The 26,309-nt window shown below is 44.0% G+C and overlaps 1 protein-coding gene across 1 annotated transcript in view, besides 1 other annotated feature; it reads left to right on the top strand.

Moving 5' to 3' along the window:
- The first annotated feature begins 2,270 nt into the window (after positions 1 to 2,270).
- Positions 2,271 to 26,309, top strand: part of EDARADD (EDAR associated via death domain) — a 136,672-nt gene continuing 112,633 nt past the window's right edge. Inside the window, exons 1-3 of the mRNA NM_001422628.1 lie at positions 2,271 to 2,296; positions 2,737 to 2,978; positions 4,716 to 4,851. The gene's annotated coding sequence lies outside the window, so the exon portion shown is untranslated. The remainder of the gene's footprint in view (positions 2,297 to 2,736; positions 2,979 to 4,715; positions 4,852 to 26,309) is intronic.
- Positions 19,453 to 20,233: an enhancer, noted in NCBI's record as "NANOG-H3K4me1 hESC enhancer chr1:236528741-236529521 (GRCh37/hg19 assembly coordinates)". NCBI's record gives its function as "activates a minimal SCP1, AML or CMV promoter by ChIP-STARR-seq in primed H9 embryonic stem cells {active_cell/tissue: H9 hESC(primed)}" and the evidence as "EXISTENCE:reporter gene assay evidence [ECO:0000049][PMID:30033119]".

Below are 26,309 nucleotides of genomic sequence, written 5' to 3' on the forward strand. Positions count from 1 at the left end.
TCACTGTGGGATTACAGTGCCTGGAATCTGAACATTTTCAGAAGCCCAGGTAGCAGAATCACTTGAAGCCAGGAGTTGAAGACCAGCCTGGTCAACAAAGCCAGACCCCATTTCCACAAAAAAAATTTAAAAATTAGCCAAGTGTAGGGGCACATGCCTGTAGTCCCAACTACTTGGGAGGCTGAGGTGGGAAGATCCCTTGAGCCCAGGAGTTTGAGGCTGCAGTGAGCTATGATTATGCCACTGCACTTCAACCTGGGTGACAGAGTGAGACCCTGTCTCTTAAAATAAAAAACAAACAAATTGGCCGGGCGCAGTGGCTCACGCCTGTAATCCCAGCACTTTGGGAGGCCGAGGCGGGTGGATCACCTGAGGTCAGGAGTTTGAGACCAGCCTGGCCAACATGGTGAAATCCCATCTCCACTAAAAATACAAAAATTAGCCAGGGATGGTGGCAGGCGCCTGTAATCTCAGCTACTCAGGAGGCTGAAACAGGAGAATCGCTTGAACCCAGGAGGCAGAGGTTGCAGTGAGCCGAGATCACGCCATTGAACTCCAGCCCAGGCCAACAACAGTGAGACTCCATCTCAAAAAGAAAAAAAAAAAATGTAATTAAATCCTGTGGCACCCACCTCTCTTTGCACACACTTGGGGGAGGGGCAGATCTGTACAAAGAGTGGAAAACAGGCTAACAAGGAATCTCAGGTACAGAAATGGGACATAACCAGTCACAAACATTTGAGGAAAACCACAAGCGGAAAGAATAACCTTATATATTTTTCTTTCTTTTTTCTTTTCTTTTTTTTTTTTTTTTAACAGAGTTTCACTCTTGTTGCCCAGGCTGAAGTGCAATGGCACTGTCTTGGCTCACCGCAACCTCCGCCTCCCAGGTTCAAGCAATTATCCTGGCTTAGCCTCCTGAGTAGCTGGGATTACAGGCATGCACCACCACGCCCAGCTAATTTTGTATTTTTAGTAGAGATGGGGTTTCTCCGTGTTGGTCATGCTGGTCTCGAACTCCCGACCTCAGGTGATCTGCCGGCCTCGGCCTCCCAAAGTGCTGGGATTACAGGTGTGAGCCACCACACCCGGCCTCATTTTTTTTCGAAAGGAGAACCTGCACTTGGAAAAAACAGTTTAAAAGAGTGAAAATCAGTGTAACTAAAATATGTATAGGGATAAGCAAGAATATCACAGCATGAAATGAGAGCAGGCAGTTATGAAAAGAAAGCCAGGCTGGGCCAGGTGGCTCATGCCTGTAATCCCAGCACTGTGGGAGGCTGAAGCAGGCCTCACCTGAGGTCAGGAGTTCGAGACCAGCCTGGCTAACACGGTGAAACCCTGTCTCTACTAAAAACACAAAAAGTAGCCAGGTGTGATGACGCGTGCCTGTAATCCCAGCTACTCTGGAGGTTGAGGCAGGAGAATCGCTTGAACCCAGGAGGTGGAGGTTGCAGTGAGCCGAGATCTCACCACTGCATTCCAGCCTGGGCAACAGAGCAAGACTCCATCTAAAAATAAGAATAATAATAAGAAGAAGAATTAACTAGAGATCTTGGACACACAAACAGCTACTGAAAGAAAAAGAAACCCTCAAGAGGTGGGCAAAACAGCAGAGCGGGCACTGCTGAAAAGCAAACCAGAGAGCTGGAATAAATACGAAGCCAAGGAATTCTCCCAGAAGGTAACTTAAGGGATAAAATGATCAAAGCTTTATGAAAGACAGACAAAGAATTATGGAGGACAGATTTAAACGCCGCAGCATAATCCACAGACATTCATCCCATTGATTTGGCTGTAGTCTTTCCTGCCATCTTCTTAGCCAAAATTAAAGCACCTTAGCGGCTCTGCTTTTTCCCAATTACAATCGGCTTCCGCCCCGTGGTGCTGGTTTGGGCTTGGGGGTCCTGGGTGGGGACCCCCGGGGTTGCCCCGTGGTTCCCCTCTTAGCACTGTAACTTCCTGGGCGCCAAACAGGCTGCCCAGGCAGCCCGGAGGAGCAGCAGCTTCAACGCAACCCAGTACCCAGCCCTGCGACTCCCCAGCCACTCTGGAACATGCTGCCCGTCGAGCAGTGGTCCGAGGTGACCTTCGGGGCGGTGAGAGAGTCCAGAGGTCAGAGGAGGAGGAACCCGTCGGGCGGTGAGAAAGCTTTACCCCGCCCCCTGGAAGCCCACCGAGGGCAGGCAGATGCCAGGCGCGGCGACTTCATTTGCGTCTCTGCAACGCCCACCCTGCAGTGCCACGCCCCCGAGCGCGAAGCCTTCTGGGAGTTCTGATCCCGGACGACCGTAAGGTAGGGCCCTACAGACTGACTGGGGAGCCAGTTGGGGAAACTCGTGAACAGCAACTGCGGTGGCGGCTCCGCCTCCTTGGGGCTGGAGCTCCCCGACGGCCAATGAGGCGGGACACGTGGGCCTCCAAAACACCCTGAGGTGCCTGCCGGGCTGCTGGGCGCGCTCTTCTTGGCCCAGCCAGCCGTCGCCGCGCCCCTCCCTGGGTCCTCCCACATCCCCGGTTACAGCCTCTAAATGTAGCATTTGCGCCCTCACCCTGCACAGCCTTGATTTTCCAAAGATAGGCCTGGACTTTTGCAAACAGGGGGCTCTCCTCCTTCATGAGTCTTTCTGTAGCCTCATACCTACAGGCTATGTTAGAAATTACACCAGTGACTTGTAGGATCCTGGAGTAAACAGAAGCTGCTTTCGGAAATCTGGTACCTTGCTCGGTCCGCAGGTGCAAACTCAAAGACCTACTTCCAAGCTGCCGTCCATGTGCTGCCCAATGAAGCTGCAACACGTGAACCTCTGTGGAAGGCGCCCACCTTTTCTCCAGTCCTTCTCTCACTGAGTGCCCTATCAAAATGGAAGAATCCCTGAATGAACCCATTTCAAGTTTGAATTGTGGTAAAATATTGCAATCCCAAGTGTTGGTTGCCTACAGCTTCCTACTGATTTTGGCTGGTGTCTAAAAAGAAGGTACCCCCAAAATAAAATAAAAATAAAAACAAGGCCCAGAAATGTCTCCTGTGTTAGCCCAGTAAATAGTTGATTTTCTTTTCTTTCCTTTTTTTTTAGAGACAGGGTCTTGCCATATTGCCCAGACTAGATTCAAACTCCTGGGCTCAAGTGATCCTCCTGCCTCAGCCTCCCAAGGAGCTGGGACTACAGGCAGGCACCATGGTGTACTCAAAATTTTTTTTGAGAGGGAGTTTGCTCTGTCACCCAGGCTGGACTGTAGTGATGGGATCTTGGCTCACTGCAACTCCATCTCCCGGGTTCAAAGCGATTCTCTCCTGCCTCAGCTGCCCCAGTAGCTGGGACTACAGGCGTGTTGCCCAAAAGAGTCAAACTCTGTAAAATATTTTAAGAGATTTATTCTCTTAAATATGAGACGGCCAAATATGAGTGGCCATGTTGCGTGACATGTGCCCAAGGTGATCAGAGTACAGCTTGGTTTTATATATTTTAGGGAGGTATGAGACATCAATCAAATACATTTAAGAAATACATTGGTTTGGTTCAGAAAGGCGGGACAACTCAAAGCGGGGTGGCGGGGGTGGGGGTGCTTCCAGGCTATAGGTAAATTTAAACATTTTCTGGTTGACAATTGGTTGAATTTATCCTGGAATCAAGAGAAAGGAAATGTTCAGGTTAAGATAAAGGATTGTGGAGACCAAGTTTTATTGTGTAGAGGAAGTTCTCCGATAGCAGACTTCAGAGACAGCAGGTTGTAAAATGTTTCTTATCGGACCTCAAAGGGTGTCTGGCTCTTAGTTGATTATCTCCTGGATCTGGAAAGGAAGGAAGGAAAAAAAAAGGGCAGTGGTGGGGGAGGGTGGTGGCAGGCGCGGTGGCTCACGCCTGTATTCCCAGCATTTTGGAAGATTGAGGCAGGCAGATCGCCTGAGGTCAGGAGTTCAAGACCAGCCTGGCCAACATGGCGAAACCATGTCTCTACTAAAAATACAAAAACTAGCCGGGTGAGTTGGTGCACACCTGTAGTCCCAGCTACTCAGGAGGCTGAGGCAGGAGGATTGCTTGAACCCAGGAGGCAGAGGTTGCAGTGAGCCGTGCCACTGCACTCTAGCCTGGCGACAGAGTGAGACCCTGTCTCAAAAAAACAAAAACAAAAAAGAACAATGAAGAAAAGGGGGAAAGAGGATTCTCTGTAGATGTGGATTTTTCCCACAAGGGATGGCTTTGCAGGGCTATTTCAAGATGTGGCAGAGAAACACGTTTTGGGGTAAAATATTTTGATTTTCTTCCTTGTTATGCCAGGGTCAGATTGGAAAGTAAGTCATGATATATAGGGTCAAATAAAACCCATGTGATGAGAATTTATGGTTTGTAGGGCATATCCCTTAGATAGGAATTTGGGCAAGATTAAAACAAAAAATCAGGTCTTAGTCCTCAGGTGTGTGCCACCACACCCAGCTAATTTTTTATTTTATTTTTTGTATTTTTAGTAGAGACAGGTTTTCACCAAGTTTGCCAGGCTGGTCTCGCACTCCTGACCTCAGGTCATCCTCCCGCCTCGGCCTCCCAAAGTGCTGGGATTATAGGCGTGAGCCACCAGGCTGGGACAGAATGAGAGTTCTGTTGAGCTGAGCAGAGGCGGTTGGCTTGGTAGACAGAAAAAGGCTGAGGAAAGTATTAGTAGAAGCTGAGAACAAAAAGCAGATTGGTCCTTTCAAAGTTATTTTCCTCCTACAGCTTTGAGAGAAGAAAAATAGCTCCAAGCATTCTGAGCTCTGTAAAGTACTCGGGACCAGAGAGACAGGAGTGTGAGACTTCAGTCATGCCTGCCTCCAGCCCTCCCCTGCCCCATACCTGGGGTCAATTGTTTAAGGTAATTTTGTTCCTGACTAGCTGCCTCACCCAGTGTCTTCCTGTTCCTGGAATTTGTGATACAAAGAATAATGTATAGCCAATCAATAGCTTATATTATTTTAATGTGAAATCTTGGTAAACAATTTAGGAACTGCCTCTTCTTTTCCTTTAAAAACCTCAAGGTAGTAGGTCCCTGCATTCCCAAGTACTTGGGAGGCGGAGGCAGGAGGATTGCTGGAGCCCAGGAATTGAAGGCTGTGGTGAGCCATGATTACACCACTGCACTCCAGCCTAGGCGACGGTGAGACCCCATCTCTAAACAAAACAAAATTTTAAAACCCTACTTGTAATTGTTACTAGTCCCAGTGAATATTCACTGGGCAGCTTGAATCTATGCTCTCGGGAAGCAATCTCAAGCTTGGCCCAAATAAACTATTTACATTAATTTTGCCTCAGCCTCTTCCTTTTAGGTAGACAGGTTAAAGCAGAGGGGGCTTCCTTATCATGTTGATACCGGTGGGCCAGAGGAGGTCTCCAAATACCAGTGGGACCTTGACCGTGGCCGGTGTCCAGGCTCTTGACACCCTCTCAATAAGGAATTCAAGGATGAATGAGGAGGCTGGGCGCGGTGGCTCATGCCTATAATCCCAGCACTTTGGGAGGCCAAGGCAGGCAGATCAAGAGATAGAGACCATCCTGGCCAACATGGTGAAAACCCATCTCTTCTAAAAATACAAAAATTAGCCGGGCGTGGTGGCGCATGCCTGTAATCCCAGCTACTCGGGAGGCTGAGGCAGGAGAATCGCTTGAACCCAGGAGGCAGAGGTTGCAGTGAGCCGAGATCACCCCACTGCACACTAGCCTGGCAACAGAGCGAGACTCTGTCTCAAAAAAAAAAAAAAAAGAATGAGTGAGGAAATAGTGAAAACAGGGAGATTTATTGCAGAGTGAAAAGTATACACTCAAGAAAAGGGAATGTATGTGTACTCACTAGAGAGTCACACACAAGGGGGTTTGGGGGTGCTACCTTTATGGGTTTTTTTAATCAAGGGGCTGAATATTCATGAGAATTCCTGGAAAAAGGTGGAGGTTTCTCGGAACTGTGGTGCCACTCATTTTTACACCAAATATGGATGTTCCCAGAACTGTCATGGCGCTGGGGGGTGTGTGTTTGGTATGTTAATGAGTGTATAATGAGGTCCCAGGTGAAACCTAGGTCACTCCAGTGCCATGTTGGGTCCAGTCAGTCTTAGCCAGCTTGGCCCACACCCTGGTTTTTTCAGGGTCTTATCAGCCCATAGCTTCTGTAGCTATTTACAGTTTCCTTTGGCTGCTCATGTGAAACTGCCGCCTAGAATATTCTATTCTCCTATGACCACCCTGTATTATTTCCGTCTCAATGCCCGCTAAAACTGGCCTTTTAGTTATTGGTTAGGTTATTATCTCTGTCTCTCCTGATTTCTTGGAAGATCAGATAAACAACTTAGGTTTGGCTTGGTGGTGTGGAACTTCAGCATGAATGGCTCCATTTTAGTTTGGTCTGTTGAGCCAAGTGCAGGAGCTCAGTCTAAACCAATAGCCTCCCGTAAATTTTATCTAATAGACTGGGTTCAGTGGCTCGTGCCTATAATCCCAGCATTTTGGGAGGTCTAGGCAGGAGGATCATTTGAAGCCAAGAGTTCAAGATCAGCCTGGGCAACAAAGCAAGAACCCCATATCTACAAGAAATAAAATAAATTAGCCAGGGCCAGGTGTGGTGGCTTACGCCTGTAATCCCAGCACTTTGGGAGGCCAAGGCGGGTGGATCACTCGAGGTCAGGAGTTCAAGACCAGCCTGGCCAACATGGTGAAACCCTGTCTCTACTAAAAATACAAAAATTAGCCGGGCGTGGTGGTGGGCACCTGTAATCCCAGCTACAGGGGAGGCTGAGGCAGGAGAATCGCTTGAACCTGGAAGGTGGAGGTTGCAGTGAGCCAAGATTGTGCCACTGTACTCCAGCCTGGGCGACAGAGTAAAACTCCATCTCATAAATAAATAAATAAGCCAGGTGCAGTGGTGTGTGCATGTAGTGCCAGCTACTCGGGAGGCTGAGGCAGAAGGATCACTTGAGTCCAGGAGTTCAAGGCTGCAGTGAGCTATGACCATGCCATGGCACTTGAGCCTGGGCAACAGAGCAAGACTCCGTCTCTAAAAAAAAAACAACAACAACAAATTATCTAACAGTAATAATGGTACTAACAGTAGTGAATTTAGGGCAAGCACACCACATGCCTCATGGCTCATCCTTTCTTGGGATTGTCACAGGACTCCAGCCTTGAACTGAGGCAGCCTCACTTCACAGGCCAGGGTTGTTACCTCTCATCCCCCACAGACCTGGGATTTGTTTCAGCTCTGCAGGAGAGAACTGTGTGACCTTGGGCAAACTCTTCCCCTCCTGGTCTCCCTTATCTGTATCTGCACACAGCTATGATAAGTGGTGGTAAAAGTCGTTCTAGCTCTGAGTTTGTAGGATTATTGGACACCCACTGTGCATGAGGTGACTGCTTACACAAGGAGATGTTACATTAAGATGTTGGACAGCCAGGCGCGGTGGCTCACACCTGTAATCCCAGCACTTTGGGAGGCCAGGGCAGGTGGATGACGAGGTCAGGAGTTCAAGACCAGCCTGGCCAACATGGTGAAACCCTGTCTCTACTAAAATACAAAAATTAGCCGGGCGTGGTGGTGGGCACCTGTAATCCCAGCTACTCAGGAGGCTGAGGCAGATAATTACTTGAACCCGGGAGGCGGAGGTTGCAGTGAGCCAAGATCGCACAACTGCACTTCAGCCTGGGCAACAGAGCGAGACTCCAACTCCAAAAAAAAAAAAAAAAAAAAGATATTGGACTAAGGTTGGTGTTTAAATGGACCCTATTTGGTAGTTACTCGACTGTGTGTAATATTTTAGTTGTTAAATGAGGTGGCATCTTTTCATCATTTGGCTTTTCTACCTTTTACCCAGAACAGGCACCAGATAATCAGCTTCTGGTGTTGCTTAGCAAAATGACAGCTCTTTCCTTAAAAAAAAAGTTTTTTTTTGCAAGAGAAAAGACAGATTTGTATTCATGTATCTATGGGAGTTCAGGGGAAAATGTGACTCTAGCTCTTTCATTTAAAGCTCGTTAGTTCTCTTGTAGCTGGAGACATTTTTTCTCTTCTGCTCTTCGGGTTGCGAGGCTTAGGGATTCTAAGACACTAAGCCTTGCCTTTGTAATCCTGTTTTATAAGGCTATTTTCTCCTTTGAAGATGAACTCTCAATCATTTAGATACTTAAAAGCCTAGACACAGCACAATTTATTCCTATAATGTACTGACCTCAAATACCAAGTAGGTATTGCAGCGCCTACCCAGGAAACAAACCTTGGCTTGTGCACAAATGACTTACACACATGAAAGTGCCAGGATAAACCCAGGGGTTTTCAGAGAAAATATCAGAATGAGGGAAAAGGCTAGAATATAGAATGTCAGATATACTTGGGTTCGAATCCAGCATTCTCCCTTCTTGGCTCTGTGACCTTGGACAAATTAATTAAACTCTCTGAGCCTCAGGTTCCCCAGCCATAAGATGATGATAACATCTGTGATCTGGGAGAGCCAAGTTGGCATCCCTTTATCAACTAAGACAAACCTTTAGGTTACAGAAACAAAAGTTACCAACGAATGAAGGGTTCAGGGCTCAGCTGGCATGGCAATTTCCTAAATTCCTGTGGCTACAAGAAAAACCACACTCTTGCTAAACTCCCTAACAGTAGGAATTATCAGGCAAATTGTCAGACACTTCCTAAGTCTGATGTACAATCCAGACCACTACAGCCCTGATTGGACAGAGACCTGGCCTTAGAAACACTTTCCTGATAAGTAACTGCCAACCTCAAGCCAGTTTCAGCAAATTGTAGAGACTGCACACACAAATTATCTCTGTGTCCTGTAGGTCACCTTTAACGTAAAGAGCCAAATTCCATCTCAGTTTAAAGCCAAAACCCTTCCCCAAAGTGAACATGGGATGGATATTACATATATGTGTAGCCATTGTGCATGCATTTGGCTCCCCTCATAAATATGTACAGCTTTCCTCCAAAACCTGAATATATATGACTATTGTGTAATACAGACCCTGTGAGGCACAAAAACCATCCTGCCCTTTCCCTCTTTGAAGAGAAAGCACCTTTATTACATGCCAAAACTGTCTCTTCCTGGTTTGCAAACCGATATCACAAAGCTCTCCTTTCTACTGTTAAGCCATCCTGGTGGTCTTTTGGACCATACATCTCATAGATTAGTTTTAAAGACTAAGTGAGAAACAATACAATATGAAATACATTCAGTATATCTGAATTGAGTGAAGTAGATGGCCCATATTTACTGCTACGTTGCTGTTGTGATTGTTATTTTCTTCCTCTTGTTGTCATCCACTTGTGTATTTTTCAAAGTACTTTCACTCATTCCATCACTTCTTTTTCTGTCACTCTTTTATCCTAGATTAAGACATGTTCAAACCATGACTAGCTTCAAAATGTATTTGTGTGTTAGACTGTTAGCCCTCTCTAATCTCTCTTTGATGTTTTGCTAATGCATCCTGTGCATGCTCTGTGCTTATTCTTACATTTCCCATCCACTCATTCTCTTCTGCTTCTTCTTCTTTTTTTTTTTTTTTTTTTTTTTTTTGAGACAGAGTTTCGCTCTTGTCACCCAGGCTGGAGTGCAGTGGCACGATCTCGGCTCACTGCAACCTCAGTCTCCCGGGTTCAGGTGATTCTTGTGACTCAGCCTCCCAAGTAGCTGAGATTACAGGTGCACACCATCATGCCTGGCTAATTTTTGTATTTTTAGTAGAGACAAGGTTTCACCATGTTGGCCAGGCTGGTCTCGAACTCCTGACCTCAGGTGATCCACCCACCTCAGCCTCCCAAAGTGCTGGGATTACAGGCATGAGCCACCACTCCTGGCTCACTCATTCTCTTCTGGACCTCACAGCTGATTGCTCCTGTCTTCATCACACCAAACCCATGACCGGTTCTAAGGCTCCTGTCAGTGGATATTTGTCAGGCTAAACTCTTAAAAACATGGGGCACATGTTCCCAGGACCTCCTGAGGGCTGTATCACAGGCAAAAAATATATATGTATATATTTTAAAAATAGAGTTTATTTTATGCAGATAAAAAACTCATCAGTGTCTGCCTGCAGCATCTTATCAGACTCCTGAGACTGGATTTCAGATCTTCCAAAATTTGGGAAGATTGCTTGACAGGCCAGCAGAGAGTAGGGCAGAGAGGAAAAACTTAGCAGTTATTTTATGGCTTTCAGGGCTCAGTGACTTCATCTCAGGATACCAGCAGTAGCCTCTCCCTAGTCCTTCAACCCAGAGCTCTGACATGAATTCTGGATGAAGGTTATGGAGCAGGGGAGGAAGGGAGGAGATGAATATTTCTGGAAACAGTAGAGATTCTCAATGAGCAATCAAAATAGCCTCCTATCAGAGGAGATGCACTGATAAGAACAAGACAGCCCTTTATGCCATTTTCTGGAGCAATTATGTTTACCGGGCACTCTGGCTTAGCCCGGAGAACAATGATTCTCCCCCAGGGATCCCCAGACCCCAGTTTGAGTATCAGTGTTCTTGCAGCTAGGCCAGAGGACCTTTCTGCAAGGGGCCTGTGAGGTCAAAGCTATTTTCATAGTATACCATGATATTCTTTGTCTTTTTAACTGTGCTAACATTTGCACAGTTAAAAACAATGGTGGGTAAAATGGTAAAATTGATAAAATGGCAAAATAAATTAAATGATATGTAAATGGTGGGCTATAGCAAGAATCAAGGCTGTGGCTTCAAACAGTACGAATAATCATAGTCTCTACTACCGTGTACTTACAGCCCCTTTAAAACAAAACAAAACAAAAAAAAAAACCACACCAATTTGGCTTAAGAATGTTCTTGATGAGGCCAGGGGTGGTGGCTCACACCTGTAATCCCAGCACTTTGGGAGGCCGAGGTGGGCAGATCACCTGAGGTCAGGAGTTCGAGACCAGCCTGGACAACATGGAGAAAACACGTCTCTAATAAAAATACAAAAATTAGCCGGGCATGGTGGTGCATGCCTGTAATCCCAGCTACTATGGAGGCTGAGGCACTAGAATTGCTTGAACCCAGGAGGGGGAGATGGCAGTGAGCCAAGATTGCGCCACTGCACTCCAGCCTGGGCAACAAGAGTGAGGCTCTGTCTCAAATAAAAAATAAAAAAAAAAAGTTTTTGATAGAGCAATAAAAATGATTGATTTCATTAAAACTTAATCTTTGAGTACATATCTTTCTAATATTCTGTGTGACAAAATAGGAAGAATGCAGAAAGCACTTCTGCTGCAAATCCAAGTACAATGGTTATCTTAAAGAAAACAGTCATCTGGTTCAGCTGTGAGCTGAATCAGCAGGCTTTTTCACAAAATACTGCGTTAGTCTGTTTGTGTTTCTATAAAGGAATGCCTGAGGCTGGGTAAGTTATGAAGAAAAAAGGTTTATTTGGCTCAGTTCTGCGGGCTATACAAGAAACATGAGAACCAGTCAGTTATCTTTCAGTTGTTCTGTCTCCCTGTCCTTGCCTGTATTAGGCCATTCTTGCATTACTATAAAGAAATACCTGAGACTGGGTAATTTATAAGAAAAGAGGTTCTTCCAGCTTTACAAGCGTGGCACCAGCATCTGCTTGGCTTCTGGGGAGGCCTCAGGGAGCTTTTACTCATGGTAGAAGGTGAAGCAGGAGAAGGCACTTAACATGAGGAAAGCAGGAGCAAGAATGAGTGCAGCAAGAGGTGCCACAGACTTCACAAACCAGATCTCCCGAGACCTCACTCGCCAGTGTGAGAATAGCACCGAGACGTGAGGGATCTGCCCCAGTGACCTAAATACCTTCCACCAGGTCCCACCTCCAACATGGGGATTACAGTTCAACATGAGATGTGGCGGGGATGTATATTCAAACTATATCACCACCTTACAAGGAAAGTAACTTTATTTTATTTAATTTTTTTTTTTTGAGATGGAGTTTCGCTCTTTTGCCCAGGCTGGAGCGAAATGGCATGACCTCGGCTCACTGCAACCTCTGCCCCTTAGGTTCAACCAATTCTCCTGCCTCAGCCTCCTGAATAACAGGGATTATAGGTGCTGCCACCACACCCGGCTAATTTTGTATTTTTAGAAGAGATGGGGTTTTGCCATGTTGGCCAGGCTGGTCTCAAACTCCTGATCTCAGGTGTTCCACCCAACTTCACCTCCCAAAGTGCTAGGATTACAGGCACGAGCCACTGCACCTGGCCACAAGGAAAGTAACTTTAAAATGACCAGTCTGCTTTTTGTTCTTTGTTTCTGATTTATTCAGCCCTTTCTGTTTATAAAGACAATTCCCTTTGCTCAACTCATTGGAATACTTATTCTATTTTATGGAATGAACTGTTGCCCAATTCTACAATCACAATAAAGCCAACTGAGATCTTTAACTAAATTCATTATGAGTTTGTCTTTTGACAATATGCAAAGAATTTTAAAAATATTTTTGGTTATTTCTTGTCTTCTGCTAGCTTTGGCATTTGTTTGCTCTTGGTTCTCTGGTTCTTTTAGTTGTGATGTTAAGGGGTCAATTTGATGTGGGCATTTAGTGCTATAAATTTCCCTCTTAACACAGCTTTAGCTGCATCCCAGGGTTTCTGGTACATTGTCTCTTTGTTCTCATTGGTTTCAAAGAACTTCTTGATTTCTATCTTAATTTCATTATTTACCCAAGAATCATTCAGGAGCAGGTTGTTCAATTTCCATGTAGTTGTGTGGTTTTGAGTGAGTTTCTTAATCTTGAGTTCTAATTTGATTGTGCTGTGGTCTGAGAGACTGTTTGTTATGATTTCAGTTATTTTGCATTTGCTGAGGAGTGATTTACTTCCAATTATGTGATCAATTTTAGAGTAAGTGCCATATGGCACCAAGGAGAATGTATATTCTATTGTTTTTGGGTGGAGAGTTCTGTAGATATCTATCAGGTCCACTTGATCCAGAGCTGAGTTCATGTCCTGAATACCTTTGTTAATTTTCTGTCTTGATGATCTATCTAATATTGATAGTTGGGTGTTAAAGTCTCCCAATATTATTGTGTGGGAGTCTAAGTCTCTTTGTAGGTCTCTAAGAACTTGTTTTATGAATCTGAGTGCTCCTGTATGAATTAGTAGATGGTCCTAAGCACAGTTGTAAAAGAGGTAAACTTGATCTTCAAATTCTCCACATCTTTTTGGAACCTTTTTGTCCTACTAGGATCCCTTTCCTGATGTCATCTCACCCTCACTCTCTAGATATTTAGTCCCCTATTGGCTGCACACTGTCCTTTTTAACCACTGCTGTGGTCTGAATGTATCCCCCAAATTCCTATATTAAAAATGTAATTCCCAATGCAACAATCTTAGGAATTGGAATGTTTAGGGAGGTCATGAGGGCTCTGCCCTCATTAATAGATTCATTCCATTATAAAAGGGCTTGACTGAAGGGAGTTTGAGCTCTTTTGGCCTTCAACCTTCCGCCATGTGAGGACATAGTGTTTAAGGTGCCATCTTGGGAGCAGAGATCTGATCTTCATCAGACAGCCAACCCTGGTGGCACTTTGATCTTGAACTTCCCAGCTGTATTAGTCCATTTTTACACTACTGATAAAGGTATAACCTAGACTGGGCAATTTACAAAAGAAAGAGGTTTAAGGGACTTATAGTTCCCAGTGGCTGGGGAAGCCTCACAGTCATGGCAGAAGGCAAGGAGAAGCAAGTCACGTCTTACGTGGATGGCAGTAGACAAATAGAGAGAGCTCGTGCAGGGGAACTCCTCTTTTTAAAACCATCAGATCTCATGAGACTTACTCACTATCATGAGAACAGCATGGGAAAGACTTGCCACCATGATTCAGTTACCTCCTACAGGGTCCCTCCCACAACACATGGGAATTCAAGATGAGATTTGGGTGGGGACACAGCCAAACCATATCACCAGCCTCCTGTTAGAAATAAATTTCTGTTCTTTATAAATTACCTAGTCTGTGATATTTTGTTATAGCAACACAAGTGGGCTAAGACAACTACTAAAATCTTCCCCTAAATAGATATCTATTTCTCTAGAAAGCCAACAAAGCATGACATTAAGACTGTGGGGCCAGGTGTGGTGGCTCACTCCTGTAATTCCACCACTTTGGGAGGCTGAGGCAGGAGGATGGCTTGAGGCCAGGAGTTCAAGACAAGTCTGGTCAACATAGCAAGAGCTTGTCTCTAAAAAAGAAAAATTAAAAAAAAATTAGTTAGATGTGGTGGTGTACACCTGTAGTTCCAGGTACTTGGGAAGCCAAGGCAAGGGTAAATTGAGCTCAGGAGGTCAAGGCTTTAGTTAGCCATGATTGAGCCATTGCACTCCAGCCTGGACAACAGAGCTAGATCCTGTCTTAAAAAAAAAAAGAAGAAGAAGAAGTGGGGATTTCAGGTACTTAGGAGACTAGAAGGAGAAAACAGGTAGCCTTATGACATCCATCCAAGGTCACACAGAGATTCATCTACTGGCCTGGATAAATTATTACTGTGTGGTTACCAAATATATCAGACAGGATCTATCAGGTAAATAGAAGCAACCTCAAATATTCAGGACAGAGGGATTTTAATTCACGGTTTTTTTTTTTTTTTTTTTTTTTTTTGAGACAGAGTCTTGCTCTGTCACCCAGGCTGGAGTGCAGTGGTGCCATCTTGGTTCACTGTAACCTCCACCTCCCAGGCTCAAGTGCCACTTCCACCTCAGCCTCTCAAGCAGCTGGGACCACAGGTGTGAGCCACTGTGCCCAGCTAATTTTTGTATTTTTTTGTAGAGACAGGGTTTTTCCATGTTGCCCAGGGTGGTCTCAAACTCCTGAGCTCAAGTGATTTGCCCACCTTGGCCTCCCAAAGTGCTGGGATTAGAAGTGTGAGCCACCACACCCAGCCAGGGGTACTTTTTTACACTAGTGATGAAGGAATTGGGAAGCCAAACTGGATAGTGAGGTGAATCAGAGATCAGCCAGAGTAGGAAGGCAGCCAACATTAAGGACACAAGGAAAGAGGCAGCATTGCCAGGGCCTGGAAACAGGTGTTGGAGTGACACCCAAAATAGTCTCATTTTAAGGTTTTTGTAAAAAACAAAAACAAAAACAAACGAACCTGCTGTATTGACATACAGTTGACACACAACAAAGTGCACATATCTAAAGTATAAAACTTGATAAATGTTCATGTATGTGTACATCTGTGGAAACATTACCATATTGAAGACAGTGAACAAGTCTATCATCTCCAATGGTTTCCTCACAACCCTGTGTAATCCCTTTCCCCTACGCCACCAGTCCTTAAGCAACAATGATCTACTTTATACCACTGTCAATTCCTTGGTTTTGTTTTATATTTTATCTTATTTTATTTTATATTTAATTTTATTGAGATGGAATCTTGCTCTGTCACCCAGGCTGGAGTGCAGTGGCGCGATCTCGGCTCACTGCAACCTCCACCTCCGGGTTCAAGTGATTCTCCTTCCTCAGCCTCTCCTTCCTCAGCCTCCCGAGTAACTGGAATTACAGGTGCCCACCACCACACCCAGCTAATTTTTGTATTTTTAGTAGAGACAGGGTTTTGCCATGTTGGCCAGGCTGGTCTCGAACTCCTGACCTTCAGTGATCTGCCCACCTCGGCCTCCCAAAGTGCTAGGATTACAGACGTGAGCCACCACGCACAGCCAAATTTTATATATATATATATTCCTTCATACCATAGGTATTCTACTTTTGTCTAGCTTCTTGCATTCAGAATAATTATTTTCGGATTCATCTATGTTGTTAGTATCAGTGGTCCCTTTTTATTGTTCCATAATACTATGGCTTTTGTGTGGCTATACCACAATTTGTTTATTCATTCACCTACTGTTGGTCGTTTGGGTTGTTTCCAGTTTGGGGCTATTACAAATACTTTTCTGAACATCCGTGTATACGTTTTTGTATAATTATATGCTTTCTTTTATCTTAGGGAAATATTTAGGCATGGAATGCCTGGATTGTATGGTAGACGTATGTTTAACATTTTAAGAAATTGTCTAATGGTTTTCTAAAGGGGCTTTGTCACTTTACAGTCTCACAAGCAGAATAGGAGAGTCCCAGTTGCTCCAATATTTACCCGCAATTGGTATTGTCATCTGTTTCTTTTTTGAGACAGGATTTCGCTTTGTCATCCAGGCTGGAGTGCAGTGCTACAATCATAGTTCACTGTAACCTCAAACTCCTGGGCTCAGTGATGCTCGCACCTTGGCCTCCCAAAGTATTGGGATTACTTGTCATCTTTTTAAATCTCTGCCATCTAAAGAGTCTGCAGTGGCATCTTGTTGTGGCTTTAATTTGCATGTATGGAACAACCGATGATGTTGAGCGTCTATTTGTGTGCCTCCTTGCCACCCATATATCTTTCTGGTGAATTGCCTGCCTAGATCTTTAGCCTAGTTTTAATTGTGCTGTTTGTTTTCTTATTGTCAAGTTTTGCGAGATATTTATTTATGATGGATACAAATCCTTTATCAGGTAGATGCTTTGCAAAACACTTCCCCAGCTTGTGGCTTGTCTTTCTGTTCTTTCAGCAGTGTCTTTTGTAGAGCAGAAGTTTTAATTTTGATGAAGTCCAAGTTTTCCTTTGATGTTATTATTTTATGGATTCCACTTTTGGTGTTGTACCTAAGAAATGCCTAACCCAACGTCACCAAGGGTTTTCTCCTTTGCTTCTTCTAGAAGTTTTATAGTTTTAGGATTTATTAGATCTAGAATCAATTTTGAGTTAATTTTTGTATATTGTGAAGTATTCAAATTCTTTTTTTATTCCTAATCAATATCCAGTTATTCCAGCAACATCTGTTGTAAAGGCCATCTTATCTCTGCTGCCTTGCCTTGTGCCCTTACCAAAAACCTATTGTCGATTTATGTGTGGATCTACTTCTTAAAATTATTTGTGGGCTGGTTGCAGTGGCTCATGCCTGTAATCCCAGCATTTTGGGAAGCTGAGGTCAGAGAATCGCTTGAGCCCAGGAGTTCAAGACTCTGTCTTCTTTTTTTAAGAAAAAAAAAAAAAAAAAAAATATATATATATATATATATATATATAAAATTTGTGTACAGACAGAGTCTTGCTATGTTGCCATGTTGTCTAGACTGCTCTCAAACTCCTGGCCTCAAGTGATCTCCTGCCTTGGCCTCCCAAAGTGCTGGGATTACAGGCATGAACCACTACACCTGGCCCAGAGGCCCAGATCTATTTCTGACATCTCTACTCTCTTTCATTGATCCATGTGTCAATTTTTGTTTGTTTGTTTTATCATCTGATATGGTTTGGATCTGTGTCCCCACCCAAATCTCATGTCAAGTAGTAATCCCAATGTAGGGGGTGAGGCCTGGTGGGAGTGATTAGATCATAGGGGCGGATTTCCCTCTTGGTGCTGTTCTGGTAGTCAGTGAGTTCTTCTGAGATCTGGTTGTTGAAAAGTGTGTCACGTCCCCCACATGTTCCTTCTCCAGCCATGGTTCATGCCTGTAATCCCAGCACTTTGGGAGGCCAAGGCAGGAGGATCACTTGAGGCCGGGAGTTTGAGACCAGCCTGGACAACATAGCAAGACTCTGTCTCTACACAAATGATTTATATTTATTTATTTATTTATTTTTACTTAAAAAAATAAGACGGGGTCTTGAACTCCTGGGCTCAAGCGATTTTCCTACCTCAGCTTCCCAAAGTACTGGGATTACAGGCATGAGCCACCACAACCAGCCCACAAATAATTTTTAAAAAGAAGTAGATCCACTTTAAAAAGGAGTAGATCCAGCTCCCCTTTTGCCTTCTGCCACGGTTGTTTCCTGAGGCCTCCCTAGAAGCCCAGCAGATGCCATCATTGTGTTTCCTATACAGCCTGTGGAACCATGAGCCAAGTGAACCTCTTTTCTTTATAAATTACCCAGTCTTGGCCAGGCTTAGTGGCTCACACCCGCAATCCCAGCACTTCGGGAGGCCAAGGTGGGCAGATCACTTGAGGTCAGGAGTTCGAGACCAGCCTGGACAACATAGCAAGACTGTCTCTACAAAAAATTAGCTGGGTGTGGTGACATGCACCTGTAATTCCAGTTAGGAGGCTGAGGCAGGAGAATCACTTGAACCCAGGAGGTGGAGGTTGCAGTGAGCCAAGATTGCACCACTGCCCATCTCAAAAAAATAAAAAATAAAAAAATAAATTCCCCAGTCTTGATAGTATTTATAATATTTAACTTAATTACTATAGTTAAAGGAATTAACAACAGTTTTCATTTTATAGCAATGCGAGAATGAACTAATATATTATCCCAGATATATGTCTATCTTACTGCTAATATGAAGCTATTTGGTCTGTCATAGCCTTGTCTTGAAATCAGGTGGTGTCAGCCCTCCACCTTTGTCCTTTGGCAGAGTTGTTTGCCCACTCTATAAACTCTGCATTGCCACCCCACTTTTTAAATAGCTTCTCAATTTCCACAAAAAAAACTAGCTGGGATTTTGATTATAATTACTTTGAATAGATAGATCAACTTGGAGGAAACTGACATCTTAACAGTATTGAGTCTTCTAACCCATGAACAAGGTATACTTCACCATTTATTCATATCTTCTTTAATATAGCTCAGCAATGTTTTTAGTTACCAGCATACAGGTCTTTCACATCCTCAGATTAATCCTTAAGTATTTCATCATCTTTTAGAATTCTATTGTAAATTGCAGTTCTTAATTTCCATTTCTGATTGTTTGTTGCTGGTAAACAGAATATAATTCATTTGAGTATGTTGATTTTGTGCTCTGCAAACTTGCTAAACTCACTTATTAGTTCTAATAGCTCTTTTGTAGAATCTATCACATTTTCTACATAGATATCATGACATCTATGAATAACAGTTTTAATTTCTTTCCAATCTGATGCTTTTTATTTCTTTTTCTTGGCTTGATTCCACTGGCAAGAACCTCTAGTGGAATACTGAATAGAATTGGTGAAAGCAGACATCCTTGTATTGTTCCTGATCTTAGGAGGAAAATATTCATTTTTCACCACTGAGTATAATGTTAGATGTAGTTTTTTGGATTTTCTATATCGGTTTGAGGAAATTCCCTTTTATTCCAAGTTTACTGAGACTATCAGGAATTGGTGTTGGATTTGGTCAAAAGTTTTTCTGCATGTATTGAGGTGATCACATAGGTTTTCTTTTCTTTTTTTTTTCTTTCTCTCTCTCTCTCTCTTTGAGACAGGGTCTTTCTCTGTCACTCATGCTGGAATGCAGTGGCACAATCAGGGCTCGATGCAGCCTCAACCTCCCAGGCTCAAGTGATCCTCCCACCTCAGCCTCCCAAGTAGCTGGGACCACAGGCACGTGCCACCACACCTGGCTAATTTTATCTTTTGTAGAAACAAGGTCTCACTATGTTGCCCAGGATGATCTCAAACTCCTAGGCTTAAGCAGTCCTCCAGCCTTGGCTTCCCAAAGTTCTAGCATTACAGGCATGAACCACTGCACCCAACCAATTTTTAAATTTTTTATATTTTGTAGAGACAGAGTTGCTCTCGCTATGTTGCCCAGGCTGGTCTTGAACTCCTGGCCTCAAGCAATCCTCCCACCTTGGCCTCCCAAAGTGCTGAGATTATAGGAATGAGCCACCATGCCTGCTTGGTTTACTTTACTTCATGAATCTTGGGTCTGATTTCTTAGATTTGTAGGTGCATAGTTTTAATCAAGTTTCGAAAACTTGTCTGTTCTTCCTCCAAATAGTTTTCAGTTGGCCTCCCTCCTTTGGAGACTCTTTTTATCTATATGCTAAGTAGCTCTAAGTTGTCCTACAGTTAACTAGGGCTCTTATCATCCTTTGTTATTCTGATTTTTCTCACAGTATGTCATTTGGTTTAGTGTCCACTGCTATGTCTTCAAATTCACTAACCTTTTTTCTGCAATGTTTAATCTGCCTTTAATTCCATCCAGTGTATTTGTCTTCTCATAATTTGTCATTTCTTCTATAGAACTTTGATTTGGGTATTTTAAAAATACATCCCATATTTCTACTTTAACTTCTTGAACACATGAAATGCAATTTTGATAGCATCTAAACATAATTCTAAATGTAACAGATATAACGCTAACATCGGTGTCAGTTCTGGGACAGTTACGATTGATTACTCTCTCATTATGGGTCATATTTTTCTGCCTCTTCGCATGCCTGGAAATCTTTGGTTGGCTGCCAGACATTGTGACTTTATCTTGCTGGGTGCTGGATATTTTTATATTCCTATAAATCTTCTTGGGCTTTGCTTTTTGAAAACAGTTGGATCTTCTCGTGTCTTGCTTTTAAGATTTGTTAGGTGGGTGTGGAGCAGTGCTCTGACAGAAGCTAATGACTCCCTACCACTGAGCTGAGACCTTTTTGAGCATGCTACTCAATGCCCTGTGAATTATGAGTTTTTCCAGTCAGCCTGGTGGGGACAGGCACTGTGTCCTTTGTCCTCTGTGTACACTGGGCACCTCTAATCTTTTCTGATAGTTCCGTCCTTGGCCTTGTGTAGATTCTCTCCACACTTGTGATGATTAGCACTCCACTGAGTACTGAAGGAAACCCTCCACGGATCTTTGTGCAGCCCTTTCCTGTCTGATGTTCTGACCTATGAACACTAACTGCTTCGGTCTCCCTAAACTCTTAGCTCTATTTCTTCAATGCAGGAAGTCGGCCAGATTTGGCCTCAGTTCTTCTTTCCTGCATCTTGGCCTGGAAGCTTTCTCAAGGCAGTAACCTGGGTCAGAGAGCTCATCTCTCTCTTTTTTTTGTCTCTCAGGGATCATTTTTCACCTTTGCTTAATGTAGAGTGTCTGGCCAGGCGCGGTGGCTCATGCCTGTAAATCCAGCACTTTGGGAGCCCGAGGTGGGCGGATCACCTGAGGTCAGGAGTCCGAGACCAGCCTGGCCAACATGGTGAAACCCCATCACTACTAAAAATACAAAAATTAGCCGGGCATGGTGGCACGCACCAGTAGTCCCAGCTACTCAGGACGCTGATGCAGGAGGCAGGAGAATTGCTTGAACTCAGGAGACGGAGGTTGCAGTGAGCCGAGATTGTACCACTGCGCTCCAGCCTGGGCGACAGAGTGAGACTCCATCGCCAAAAAAAAAAAAAAAAAAAGTAGAGTGTCTTGAAAACTACATTTTCACAGATCTTCCCTGTTTTTTGGGTTGTTTCAGGCTAGGCAATACCTCCAGTTCCTGTTATCTCATCTTGGCTTGAAGCAGAAACTAAGTGTTTTATTTATTTTATTTTATTTTATTTTAGACGGAGTCTCGCTCTGTCACCCAGGCTGAAGTGCAGTGGCACGATCTTGGCTCACTGAGACCTCCGCCTCCCAAGTTCAATTGATTCCCCTGCCTCGGCCTCTCCAGTAGCTGGGATTACAGGCGCCTGCCACCACGCCCAGCTATTTTTTCTGTTTTTACTAGAGACGGGTTTCACCAAATTGGCCAGGCTGGTCTCAAACTCCTGACCTCAGGTGATCCGCCCACCTCAGCCTCCCAAAGTGCTGGGATTACAGGCATGGGCCACCGCACCCAGCCCATTTTATTTCATTTTTGTAGAGACGAGGTCTCACTATGTTGCTCAGGCTGGTCTCAAACTCGTGGGCTCAAGCGATCCTCCAGCCTTGGCCTCCCAAAGTTCTGGGATCATAGGTGTGAGTCACCATGCCCAGCCACAATATTTTTCAAACCCTAAAATGAGACATTTGGGCTAAGATGTTTTGGCTTATTTATTTATAAAAAGGGACCTACTCAGACACAGGCTACTGTTGATATACATTTCATAACTGACTCTAATGAAAAATAAAGAGGAAAAGCATAATCGGAGTATACTCTTGATTGGGCATTGTGGCTCATGCCTGTAATTCTAGCACTTTGGGAGGCAGATGCTGGAGGATCACTTGAGCCCAGAAATTCGAGACCAGCCTGGGCAACACAGCGAGACCTAGTCTCTACAAAAGATTAAAAAATTATTCATTTGTGGTGGTGTACACCTGTAGTGCCAGCTACTCGGGAGGCTGAAGCAGGAGGATCACTTGAGCCCAAGAGTTTGAGACCAGCCTGGGCAACATAGTGAGACACTGCATTGCAGCCTGGGTGACAGAGTGAGACCCTGTCTCAAATAAAAAGAAAAAATCCAATCCCAGTAAGTAATATAAAATATTGGGAATCCAGTCAAAATTAAGTTCTATACCTCCAAAAAGTCATAAAACTTTCATCATATAACTCATAATATTTGCCACCATCAGCATCACAAGGAAGCCTCTGGCCGGCATTTAAGGTCTTCAGTCGGGCTTTTCCACCTCTTTCCAACCTTATGTCCCGTAGAAATCTTTACTTCAGCCAAGTGTTATTTAGCTATTGTTCGATTTCTCATTGTATAACCATTCACATTATTCTCTTGTCTTCATAATCTTTGTTCTCTCACCCCAGCCCCAATCCAGTCTTTTCTTTTTTTTTTTTTTTTTTTGACAGAGTTTCACTCTTGTTGCCAAGGCTGGAGTGCAGTGGCGCTATCTCAGCTCACTGCAACCTCTGCCTCCCGGGTTCAAGCGATTCTCCTGCCTCAGCCTCCCCAGCAGCTGGGATTACAGGCAGGCGCCACCACACCTGGCTAATTTTGTATTTTTAGTAGGGAAAGGGTTTCTCCATGTTGGTCAGGCTGGTCTCGAACTCCTGACCTCAGGTGATCCATCCACCTCGGCCTCCCAGAGTGCTTGGATTACAGGCGTGAGCCACCGCATGCGGCTTTTATCCAGTCATTCTTACAACACTTTTACCTCTTGTTAGTCTTGTGAACTTTACAACTCTAAAAAATCTTTCTCTTATATTTCTATTTCTTTTAAGCTTTATAGTACTTGCTTTCTGTATCAATCATTTGACAATCCATGATCCAGCTATGTATTTTTCTTTTACTATCTGTGTATGTCTTCCCAAGAATATGTAAATTTTTGAGGTAAGGAATATGCCTTTTTAAAACAAATTTTTAGAGACAGAGTCTTGCTATGTTGCCCAGGCTGGTCTTGAACTCCTGAGCCAAGTGATCTGCCTGCCTCAGCCTCCCAAAGTGCTGGGATTACAGGTGTGAGCCACTGTGCCCAGCCTATAGCTAGCTTTATAGTAAGTCTTGAAGCAAGGTATTGTCAATCCTCCAAATTTGCTATTCTTCTTCAATATTGAATTGGCTCTACTAGGTCTTTTGACCCTTCACATACATTTTAACATCAGTTTGTCGATATCCACAAAGTAACTTGCTGGGACTTTGACTGAAGTTGCATTAAATCTATAGATCCAGGTGGGAAGAACTGTCACCTTGATGATATTGAGTCTCCTTGCCCATGAGCATGAAATATCTTTTCATTTATTTAGTTCTTCTTCGAGTTCTTTCATCTTTTCTTTTATTGTTTTCCTTATACAGATTGCAGAGGCCAAAGCAACTTCATTTGGATCCTCATCTGCCATTTTGGCTTCTGATTAACCCCTGTTCCAGGAAGCCGTCTAAGATTTCCAGTTTATCCATTGTTTTTTGTATAAGAGCCGGTACTTATCATAAAATTGTTATCATACATCGGCCAGGTGCGGTGGCTCATGCCTGTAATCCCAGCACTTTGGGGGGCCGAGGCAGGTGGATCACCTGAGGTCAGGAGTTCGAGACCAGCCTCAACATGGAGAGACCCCGTCTCTACTAAAAATACAAAATTAGCTGGGCATGGTGGTGCATGCCTGTAATCCCAGCTACTTGGGAGGCTGAGGCAGAAGAACTGCTTGAACCTGGGAGGTGGAGGTTCGGTGAGCCGAGATTGCACCATTGCACTCCAGCCTGGGCAACAAGAGCGAAACTCTGTCTCAATAAAAACCAAAAAAGCAAAAAAAAATTGTTATCATATTTCAACTATCCTTGATGTTATCATACTTCAATTGTCCTACACATCCCTTCTGAACCACCACTTCTCTTTGGTATGTAAGTGCTGGGTCTAAGGGATAAGGTTGCAGGGATCCACCATCTTGTCTCACTGCCACCCAAGACACAGTCATGGCTTCTGTTCAGAAGTCCCTATTAACTATTTCTTTCTAAGAAACATGTAACCACCCAAAGGGTTCATCTTGCCCACTGCCTAGACAGAGCCGATTCATCAAGACGGGGGAATTGGCCAGGCACGGTGGCTCACACCTGTAATCCTAGAACTTTGGGAGGTGCAGGCGGGCAGATTGCCTGAGCTCAGGAGTTCAAGACCAGCCTGGACAACATGGTGAAACCCCCTCTCTACTAAAATACAAAAAATCAGCCAGGTTTGGTGGTGTGTGCCTGTAGTCCCAACTACTCAGGAGGCTGAGGCATGAGAATTGCTTGAACCCGGGAGGCAGAGGTTGCGGTGAGCCAAGATCATGCCACTGCACTCCAGCCTGGGTGACAAAGCAAAACTCTGTCTCCAAAAAAAAGGCAGGGGAATTGCAGTAGAAAAAGAGTAATTCACACAGAGCTGGCTGTGTGGGAGACCAGAATTTTGTTATTACTCAAATCAGTCTCCCCCAGCATTTGGGGAACAGAGTTTTTAAGGATGACTTGGTGGGTAGGGGGAGGCCAGTGAGCCAGGAGTGCTGATCAGTCGGAGATGAAATCATAAGGACTCAAAGCTGTCTTCTTGCACTGAGTCAGTTCCTGAGTGGGAGGCCACAAGATCAGATGAGCCAGTTTATTGATCAGGGTGGTGCCAGCTGATCCATCAAGTGCAGGGTTGGAAAAATATCCCAAGCACACTGATCTTAGGAGCAGTTTAGGGAGAGTCAGAAGCTTGTAGCCTCCAGCTGCATGACTCCTAAACCATAATTTATAATCTTGTGGCTAATATTACTCCTACAAAGGCAATCTAGTCCCCAGGCAAGAAGGAGGTCTTTGTTTAAACTGTAAACTATAAACTAAGTTTCTTTCAAAGTTAGTTCAGCCTACACCCAGGAATAAAGAAGGACAGCTTGGAGGTTAGAAGCAAGATGGAGTCGGTTAACTTAGACGTCTTTCACTGTCTCAATCATAATTTTGCAAAGGCAGTTTCAATCTGAGTTTGTCAGCCTCTTTCTTCAGCCTCTCAGCTTCCTTGGACTTTAGGGGTAGGTTTGCATAGTACCCCCCAAGAAACATAGATCTTGTACATATTTTGTTAGATTTATACCTAAGTATTGCATTTTTAGAGGAGCTAATATAAATGGTACTGTGTTTTTAATTTCAAATTCTACTTTTTCATTGCTGGCATATGAAAAAGTGATTGGCTTTTGTATATTAATGTTGGATTCTGCAACCTTGCTGTAATTGTTTATTCGTTTCAGGAGGTTTTTTTGCTGTTGTCATTGAATATTTCAGATTTTCTACATAGACCATCATGTTATCTGCAAAGACAGTGTTAATTCTTCCTTCCCAATTAATATATTTTATTTCCTTTTTTTGTCTTATTGCCTTAGCTTGGACTTCCAGTATGATGTTGAAAAGGAGTGGCAAGAGAAGACATCCTTGACTTGTTATTGATCGTATCAGAAAACTTCTAGTTTCTCACTATTAATGGATGTTGGCTGTAGGTTTTATTAAGATTTTTTTTTTTTTTTTTGAGATGGAGTTTTGCTCTTGTCGCTCAGACTGCAGTGCAGTGGCACGATCTCGGCTCACTGCAACCTCTGCCTCCCGTGTTCAAGCCATTCTCCTGCCTCAGCCTCCCAAGTAGCTGGGATTACAGGAGCCTGCCACCATGCCCAGCTAATTTTTTTGTATTTTTAATAGAGACGGGGTTTCTTCATGTTGAGCAGGCTGGTCTCGAACTCCTGACCTCAGGTGATCTGCCCGCCTTGGCCTCCCAAAGTGCTGGGATTACAGGCATGAGCCACCGGGCCCAGTCGTAGATGTTCTTTATGAAGTTGAGGAAAGTTTTGCTCTATTCCTACCTTGCTAAGAGTGGTTTGTTGTTTTTTTAATTTTTATTTATTTATTTATTTTTTTGAGATGGAGTCTCGCTCTGTCTCTCCCAGGCTTTAGTGCAGTGGTGCGATCTCGGCTCACTGCAGCCTCTGACTCCCGGGTTCAAGCAATTCTATTGTCTCAGCTTCCTGAGTAGCTGGGACTACAGGTGTGTGCCATCACACCTGGCTAATTTTGTATTTTTAGTAGAGACGGGGTCTCACCATATTGGCCAGGCTGGTCTCAAACTCCTGACCTCAGGTGGTCCACCAGCCTTGGCCTCCCAAAGTCCTGGGATTACAGATATGAGCCACCATGCCCAGCCCCATTTTTTTCTTTTTTATCATGAAAGGCTGTTGGATTTTGT

The sequence above is a fragment of the Homo sapiens genome, chromosome 1 (genome assembly GCF_000001405.40).
Source record: "Homo sapiens chromosome 1, GRCh38.p14 Primary Assembly".
Classification (NCBI taxonomy): Eukaryota; Metazoa; Chordata; class Mammalia; order Primates; family Hominidae; genus Homo; species Homo sapiens.